This window comes from Homo sapiens, chromosome 16 (genome assembly GCF_000001405.40).
Source record: "Homo sapiens chromosome 16, GRCh38.p14 Primary Assembly".
Taxonomy (NCBI): domain Eukaryota; kingdom Metazoa; phylum Chordata; class Mammalia; order Primates; family Hominidae; genus Homo; species Homo sapiens.
The window spans coordinates 51,006,952-51,016,544 of NC_000016.10; the positions used below are offsets into that span (position 1 = coordinate 51,006,952).

General features: G+C 47.3%; 1 long non-coding RNA gene across 1 annotated transcript; it reads right to left on the reverse strand.

Annotated features, from left to right (window-relative positions):
• Positions 1-2,316: 2,316 nt before the first annotated feature.
• LOC124903775 (uncharacterized) lies at positions 2,317-7,004 on the reverse strand. Its single transcript, XR_007065206.1, has 2 exons — positions 6,883-7,004; positions 2,317-2,724 (listed from the first exon to the last, which is right to left on the reverse strand). It is a non-coding gene; the product is annotated as an uncharacterized LOC124903775 (long non-coding RNA).
• Between the last annotated feature and the right edge of the window lie 2,589 nt (positions 7,005-9,593).

Sequence of the window (9,593 nt, forward strand, 5' to 3'; positions counted from 1 at the left end):
CTCCATCATTTTTGCCCTCATCCAAACCATCAACCACAGGAGACTGAGATCTTCCTAAGGTATAAAGCTGATCTTCTCATTTGCTTTCAAGAGACCTTGGGATAAAAATCCTAGAAATCAAAGCTCCTGGACATGATTTTTGAATATAGTGACTCTACACACTGGTTTGTCTGAGGCAGTCCTGATTGGAGTCTATTAGCCTAGACTCTGAGACCTAGAGTCATTATTCACGGAGCCCACATCTGCTGTCAGCATTGGAACATTACATCAGGAAGTGGAGTGATGAAACCCTTCATGACTTGGTCCTGCTCACCTCTTTGACCTTTTCTTTACTTCTTTGCAGACATCCCATGTGCTGCTGCTTCTAGTAGACATTCTTCTTCCCCACCATCCCACCCACTTTCTACCTCTTCTCATGAAGTGCAGCTTTTTATCCTTCAGAGCAACCACACAAACAAGTCTGCATAATAATCAGCTAACAACACAATGACAGGATCAAATCCACACATGTCAATATTAATCTTGAATGTAAATGGGCTAAATGCCCAAATTAAAAGGCACAGAGTGGCAAGTTGGATTAAGAAGCAAGACCCAACAGTATGCTGTCTTCAAGAGACCCATCTCACATGCAATGGGACAGCCTTCAGAGTTACAGCCCAACCCCTATATTTTTCTTCCCCTAAATCCCAGCTTTTCATACTTTAGAATGACCATCAGGTCAGCCCCTCTGACCCCCAAATCTGTCACCTCCTCTGTGCCCCACACCTTCATGAATGTCCCCTCACTCCTCATCACAATGCTATCTTAAATATTATGTCTCCCCACTAGACTGAAAGTTCCACTGGGACAAGATTCCTGATAATGCTATTCCTCCATACTCTACCCTCAAAGTCAAACGCAGTGCCTGACATGTGTTAGAATGTATATGTTGAATAAAATAAATGGACCTGCTCATTGAATAAGTCTCATGAGGTGAGAGTGGTTGGGGAAAATTCTCAGGAACTCTGAAAATGGAAAAGGACTAGAGCATTACAAAGGTGATAAAGCAGCTAGTGTGTGACAGAGGCTTTTATTCTCTTAAGGAAACACAAATGCTCCTAAGAATAGCATGTTTTCTGCTAGTCTTGGGAGATTTCAAGGGAATTACCAAGCTGATTTCAGATAGAGCCCTGGCAAGGGCAAACAGTCATAACCTTCCATCCAAGCTGCCTCTGGGGCGGGTCCAGGGTCCCACCACCAGTGCCCTGTTTCAGGGAAGGAAGCCACCATTGTCCCCTGGACCAGGTCAACAGAGTCTGGCACTTCTGCAGGCAGCACCTGCCAAAGCCACTGCATGGGCTTCACCCCTCCCAGTAAGCACAAACATAATTCTGCAGCATCCCCAGAAATCTCTCTAGAGGCAGCCAGCCAATTAAATGAACATTGTTAATGTTTCCCAAAGCTCTGGTCCCTCAATGTCCACACCAGGGGGACAGTGTGTGGGGCAGGGGGGAGGGGAAAGACTATTGCAGCATTTACTCCCAATGAAGGAATTGATCTGTGAGGGTGATCTGCACTAATTACAATAAGAAGATGTAAGATAACAATAGTCAACACTGTCATAAATTCCCAGGGCATCACAGTTGGAAGCAAATAAATGTGCACAAACACATGAACACACCAACACTAAGCTTTTGGCTGGGGAAAGAAAAGGAAGCTGCTTCCCAGCCTTCCTCTTTCTAGACAAAGGTTTTCTCAGCCTGATTTTCTCGGCCCGGAGGTCCCTGGACACTTGTACCATCAGTAACACTTCACAGAGCCTTCATTCCTAACAAATAATTAGCTAAAATTGAACCAGGGATTTCTTACATGTATGTCATAGGTCTGATATGAATAACGAGGCAGAAGGTTAACGGTGGGTCAGAGACAGTTCCCCATCTTCCAGCTTATTTATTCAGCGAAATGAGAAATTGATCACATTATTGCGTATAGGGGGAGCCTGATTCATTGCAATCAGCTTGGAATTGGCAGTTTTGACTGTAGGCAATTTGGAGACATTACTTATGCCTGAATAGGCCAGGGAAGGTCATTTATAGCTTGTTAACACCTTTCCAACCTCCAGCATGGCCAGCTCCGACTCCCCTACCCTATTTGCCCTGGACCTAGACCAAATAAAAAAAAATAGAGAAAAAAATCATAGAGAGATGAGAATGACACTATAAAATTAAAGGCACTATGAGAGATACTCCAGAGGAGGCTTAAAATGTATGTGCAACATAATATACTCTATTTGTACATCCATCCATCTGTCCATCTATCCAGCTGCCCACTCATCCCTTGTTTATTCATATGTGATTTATTCATAAACCCATTTCCTAAACACTGCTCACTAATGCAGGATCAGCCATTGCATCAGGCACTGTGGCTGCAGAGATTAAAGGATGCCCAGAGGCCTGTGACAGCCTCTCCAGAGGGAGGCCAGTGGGTTTCATGCCAGGCTTTGGAGACATTCCTAGAATCCAGCACAGTTCCTGGCAACCAGGCAATACTTAGTAAAGGTGGGATGAAGGGAGAGTCCAGAGGACTTGCTGGCATAATTTGTGCCAGCTAACATTGCTGAGCACTTCCCGTGTGCGGAAACTTGTGTTGACAGCAGTGTCACAGGGTTTCAGGCCTGGCTGCAAGAGTTGGACTGTAGAGTTAGCCAGGACTGTGGACTCAGATTCCGAGCTTCAGTTTTCTTATCTGTAAAGTGGAGACAACAGTAGAACCTAACTCAGGTGACATATAAAATCAAACACTTAGAAATAGTGTCTGGTGCATTCTAAGTGCTAAATAAATGACAGCTATCATTATTATTATCATCATCATTATAATCTGCATGACTGGAAGACACCTTTGTCTACCCTGTGAGAACTGCTTTTTTTTCCCCCAAATCCTCCAAGTAAAAGAAGGGAGTGAAATGTGGTGTTTTGACTACTTGTTGTTACATAATCAATCAAACCAGACCTTAGTGACTTAAAACAACATCAACTATTTATTATCTCTCCTATTTCTATGGGTTGACTGTGCTCAGCTGGGTGGCTCTTCTGCTGGTCTCACTTGGGGTCTCTCATGCAATTGCTGCCAGACAGATACTAGTCTGGGGCTAGAATCTAACTGCAGGGTTAACTTGGATATGAGGACAGGTGGATACCTCTTTACCACCCTATATAGTCTCAAGACCTTACCTCTATAACCAGGAGAGCATGGGGACTAGCATGCCAATGAGATATAGCAGGCTAGGAGCAACATGCTACAAGAAGTTCCATATCTCTGCTCTAGCAAGTAATGAAGGTTACCTGAATACATAGGAATGGCTTTATTACATGGTCTTTTCCTTAAAATCATTAAATACTGCCCCCATCCCAGGAATATACTGAATGGAAAGATGTAGCCTGGCCTGTTTGCACCATCAATATCCTTTTTAATAGCTTTGTGCCTAGTTCTTGTTTGTTGACTAGATTCCATTTTTTAAATCCTCGGTGTGCCCACTCTCAGAGGAGCCCTTGAGCTTCTTTTGTTCCCCCTAGAGGATCACCCTTCTTTGCTAAATTCCAGTTGTCTTGAAGCCAGACCCAGCTCTACCATAAGTAACAGACCCACAAACAAATGTTCCACCTCAGACAGGCAGCTGGTACAAGAAGTGAGGTGGAAGGGGCAGTGAGGGCCAGGGCTGAGACTGTTGGTGGTCTCTACCTTTTTCCCACCTCTTCCCCTGCCATACACACACACACACACACTCACGTGCACTTACACAGAGATGCACACACAGAGTTATCCTCACTCTCTTCCCAACCCTTTTTTTCTGCCCTTAGAATAAACAAAACTCTTTCATTCTGGGGCCTGAAAGATTCCATAATGAATTGAGACTCTTAACAGTCTATTTTAATAAAACTCAGCTCCCTGGCTGTATGGAGACCATAAAACATGCAGGTTCCAGCAATAATATGTTTAGTAGCCCTGCTTGATAAAGTGGAAATGTTTGCATGTTTCAAATTATGAGCAATTTAAAGTAGGAAGCTAGCAAGCCAGTTCTTGGGTTATGAAGCCTGACATCGTTAAGCCTTAAGAGAACACATACTTCAAAGTCTCCTGGTCTGAAATATGTCCTGTGCACTGCTCAGCGAGAACCAGCTGGATAAGCCTACAGCTGGCTGGGAGGGGGAACCCACAGCCTGATGCTATTTGGCCGACGGAGTGTCAACCCTTCAGCAAATATGCAGAATTTTTGTTTGGGAAGATGTTACCCCAAGGAAAGCCCTGCCTGCCATAAGCCCTGCTCCCTTGAGACTCATACACTCTTGAGGTGCCCATAAACTTTGATTTTGGAGGTAATGGTTTGGCATCACCAAATAATTCAAATAAATACTGAATATTATAGGGGAAATCTTAGTTTCTGGCAGTGGTGAATCTTATCAGTGGTTTTAACCAGACTTTATCTGAATCCCTCTGCTCTGATTTATTTTATATTAGATTTTGTGTTATTTTCATTGGAACAAAAGGTTTTTGCAAAGTTCCCCCTGCTCTAGCCATGCTGGGCTCCTTTCTGCCCCTCAAACCTGCCAAGCTTCTGCCCACTTGAGAGAATCCTCTTAACTAACACTTGCTATTCTCTCTACCTGGAATACTTTTCTCCCATTTTTTGTTCAATTGCTTGTTTTGTTTTGTTTTCATTTTTATTATGTATGGTTGGCTTATTCTTGTCCTTTAGTTTTCAGCTTAAATGTTACCTCTTTGGAGAGGCCTTTCCTGATCACGCCAGGCCTCTCCACTAATTTTCTCATGTCTCGTTGGTTTTCTCTCTTTGGGTATCTACCATGATCTGGTAATTATTTTGCTTATTTGTTTGTTTACTTGTTTACTGTCCATCTCCCTCAATAGCATGTCAGCTCCATGACAGGAGGGTCATTGTTTCTCTTGTTCACCACTGGGTGGCACATAGTATGTTCTCAATAAATGGTTGTTGGATGGATGGATGGATTGATGGATGAATGGGTGGGTGGATGGATTGATGGGTAGATGAGTGGATGTATGGATGAGTGGATGTATAGATAGGTGGATAGATGGATGGGTAGATGGGTGGGTAAACAGGGGGGTGGATGGATGGGTGAATGAGTGGGTGGGTAGATGGATGGATGGATGCAGGGATGGATGAATAGATGGATGGATTGATGGATGGATGTATGGATGGATGAACGGATGACCTATAAGAATTCTTTAAATGCCAAGACTTTGGGATTATGAGTCCTTAGGGGATATGACTTCAGGAGAAGGTGAACCAGATTTGAAAGTTAAGTGCACTGTTTTGACCCCAGTGGTAGCTCTTGCAACAATAGGAAGGCAGGTGAACTCATGGTTCACGTTTGGGAAGATGAATTTCCAGCAATGAAAATGACCCCACTTTCTCCTCTTTCAACATCATACTCCTTCAGTTTATTTTCCCATGGTCCAAGATGGGAGATACAATTTCTATACCTTAAAAAAATCTCATAATTGCACCCACCCTAGATTCTCCATCCCTGAGTAGCACCCCCAGTCACACAGGAACAAAGACCAGTCTGTTCTTGGCTAGACAGCCGAGCCAGGCCCAGTCACTGTGTGGTATGCGACCCTGACCGGCTGGCTGAATTCTTCAGCTGATAAGAAGGCTGCACCTCATTGCTAGGAGGGAGCGTGCAGATTAGGTGAGGAGATCTCCCTGTGGCTCACTCTGTCACTGCCCCCACAGGGAAGGGACCCCCAAGTTCCACAGGGTTTCCCCTTACTCTCCCCAAACCTCAGTTGTATTCTAATCATCCCTTAGTATCCAGGCTGTCTCTCTTTCCCTGGGTATCATTTGACAACTGGACTTGACCAGTAAAACTAATGATGCCTCCATCAAAGGGCCTTGGGGAGGGAGGCAGGCAGCTCAGAATTTAAAAAACACAACCTAGAACAACGTTGTGAATATGGGTGCCCTCTCCCTGGGCCCTGCTCCAGTTGCCTTTAGTAAACAGCTTCACTAGTTTCCCTGCATTTTTCCCAGCCATACCCCCAGAATCAGAATGGAGTATTCTAGGGCCACTGGGTAGTGTGCACAATTGTACCCCACTCACTTCCAGAGACGTTGGGCACAGGAGCACAGTGTGAATGGCATCTTCCTGAAGTTGTGCATTATGGCAGCCCCAGGAAGCCCTGCACAGACATCAGTTTCAGAGACTGGAGGCTTGGAGGCCTGTACAATGACACTTGTACCTGCATGTACCCCCATCATGAAAGATCAGTGTCCTCGTGCATTAGGCTGCATTTGGGTTGTTGGCTGCGGAATATTTCTACTGTCAGTTCAACAAAAAGTGTGATGATCACAGTGAAGCTTAACAAAGAAAATGCTATCAGGCAATTAGTAAACCCAAGTCAGCAGGACTGAAGTGAAATTTTTCATGTTGGGAAAATCATGTTCATTTGCGTGTGACAAATGTTGGCATGTGAATGCCATGCCCAGGGAAGCTAAGGATGATAGCTGCTTTTTTTCTTTCTGCCCCTACAGTTTTAGTTCAGACCCTCTTCTCTGTTCTGGGATATCAAAAGGAAGGCATGCAGGAAATACACACTTGCATTTTGTGCAGAATAAGTAAGGAAGAGGTCAATGCTGCGAGCTGGGATGTGGAACATGGCTCTTAGGGGAGGAAAAAGTCAGGGTGAAGAGAATACAGAGAGGAGGAGCAGTTTTGTTTAGTACCCAGGAGGGGGCCGTTAAGGAGCTGCTTTGAAACCTGTCCCCAGAAGACCACAGCCTGAGCTCTGCCTGTATGACCTGGAAGGTTGGGGGTAGGAGAGGCCCCCTACTCAGCCAGGTGCTACTTATTATGAATAAACACTCACCTCCACAGCCCCAGAGTTATAGGTCAGCCGAGGCAACATTTACAGCAGAGGGATCACTGAAGCCTCCCCAGGCCCCTCAGCTTAGAGGCCAGCTATCATCTGGGTGGGTGGCTCAATCCGACTTGGGGGTCAGGCCCCAGACGCCTGTGGGAAAGTATAAGGGCTTGGGGCATTATTAGATCCATGACTTCCCCTCTGATTTCTTTTTTATGAACCTGCCTTTATAAACTCACATGTGTTTGCTTTGGAAAAACTTTTTCAGGGGGAGCCCAAAGATGTGACCTTCTCAGCGTGCCCCTTCTCCTCCCTAGGCAGGGTCTCCTTCTCAGCATATCCCCTTCTCCTCCCTAGGCAGGGTCTCCTCAGCTTGCTCCCTTCTCCTCCCTAGGCAGGGTCTCCTTCTCAGCGTGCCCCCTTCTCCTCCCTAGGCAGGGTCTCCTTCTCAGCATGCCCCCTTCTCCCTAGGCAGGGTCTCCTTCTCAGCGTGTCCCCTTCTCCTCCCTAGGCAGGGTCTCCTTCTCAGCGTGCCCCCTTCTCCTCCCTAGGCAGGGTCTCCTTCTCAGCATGCCCCCTTCTCCTCCCTAGGCAGGGTCTCCTCAGCTTGCTCCCTTCTCCTCCCTAGGCAGGGTCTCCTTCTCAGCGTGCCCCCTTCTCCTCCCTAGGCAGGGTCTCCTTCTCAGCATATCCCCTTCTCCTCCCTAGGCAGGGTCTCCTCAGCTTGCTCCCTTCTCCTCCCTAGGCAGGGTCTCCTTCTCAGCGTGCCCCCTTCTCCTCCCTAGGCAGGGTCTCCTTCTCAGCATATCCCCTTCTCCTCCCTAGGCAGGGTCTCCTCAGCTTGCTCCCTTCTCCTCCCTAGGCAGGGTCTCCTTCTCAGCGTGCCCCCTTCTCCTCCCTAGGCAGGGTCTCCTTCTCAGCATATCCCCTTCTCCTCCCTAGGCAGGGTCTCCTTCTCAGCATATCCCCTTCTCCTCCCTAGGCAGGGTCTCCTCAGCTTGCTCCCTTCTCCTCCCTAGGCAGGGTCTCCTTCTCAGCATGCCTCCTTCTCCTCCCTAGGCAGGGTCTCCTTCTCAGCGTGTCCCCTTCTCCTCCCTAGGCAGGGTCTCCTTCTCAGCGTGCCCCCTTCTCCTCCCTAGGCAGGGTCTCCTTCTCAGCATGCCCCCTTCTCCTCCCTAGGCAGGGTCTCCTCAGCTTGCTCCCTTCTCCTCCCTAGGCAGGGTCTCCTTCTCAGCATATCCCCTTCTCCTCCCTAGGCAGGGTCTCCTTCTCAGCATATCCCCTTCTCCTCCCTAGGCAGGGTCTCCTTCTCAGCATATCCCCTTCTCCTCCCTAGGCAGGGTCTCCTCAGCTTGCTCCCTTCTCCTCCCTAGGCAGGGTCTCCTTCTCAGCGTGTCCCCTTCTCCTCCCTAGGCAGGGTCTCCTTCTCAGCGTGCCCCTTCTCCTTCCTAGGCAGGGTCTTTGAGCCGCCCCAAGGTATAATGTGTTCTTGGATGTGAATAAAGCATTTATTGGGGTTTAAGACTTTACTAAAGCTCAGGAAACCACTGGGACACAAGTGTCTGACTTTGAGCGAATGATACCAGAATTCTTGGCCCAGCAAAGTGGTTCCCTACCTGCACTGTGTTCTTAGAGTCTCTCAGTTCCCTTCCCCCTGGGCTCCCAGGCCTTCCCTGCTAACTTCTCCTTGGCTTTCCCTCTTCCAATTGCCAATCTTTAGCCTTCTTGGTGGCATGGATTCTGGGAGTAGGAGAGTAGGAAATAATGGGGATATTTCATTTATTAAGCACCAACTAGATCCCAGGCACCATGTGAGGCTCTGAGAACACGATGGAGAATTAAGCACAGTCCCGCCCTCTGTAAAACCTTCTGTCTAATGGAGATGATCAAGAAGTGAGCAGCCTGTGACAACTCGAGGGAAAAATGCAATGATTGGATGGGCAGGGCCAGGTAAGGGGTTAAATCATGATGCATTGAGAGCATAGGGGAGTGCTTCCTGGAGGAGGTGGCTCCTAAGTTGAGACAGGAAGGGCAAGTGAGAGTTATTTAGGTGTAGAGGAGGAAGATCTGAAGAGGCAGAGGTGTGGGCAAGTTGAAATTGCTTTAGGAAGCTCAATGAAAGGGCAAGGAGGGGGCGTGATAATACCATCCTTCAGGCCTTATGAACAGACTGCAGTGGTCACACACTGAGAAGCCCACTGAAAGTTAAGATCTGGGTAACCTCACAAACAGAATAATGGGAGTGACTTGTCTGCGAGGAAGATGCTGGCTGCAGCTGACCAGCTCCAGGGCAAGGTCAGACATGGGTTCAGGAGTTTCAATATGGTGGCTTAAAGATGACCACTAATTCTTTGTCATCCAAAGGCGGTCCCTTTCCTCCCTCCTTGAATTTGGGCACAAAAATTGTCTTGGGACTTCCAAGTGCAGACTTTGAGAAAGACAGTTAAGCTTTCTTCCCTTGGAGGCCAATGGTTACACTGTGAGATGTCCAAGTCAAAGGAGAGGCCACATAGAGGTAAATCAAGGTGCTCTGCTCAACAGCCCCGAATGGACTTCAAGCCCACAGCCAGTATCAACTGCAACCATGTGAGACAGCCCTCTTGGTTGCTCCAGCAGAATTGAGTCCCCAGAGGATTCCAGCTCTAATCAGCAACACCTGGAACAGAAGAACCACCCCCACAGTGTTCAATCAACCCACAGAATCTTGGAGAGATGAT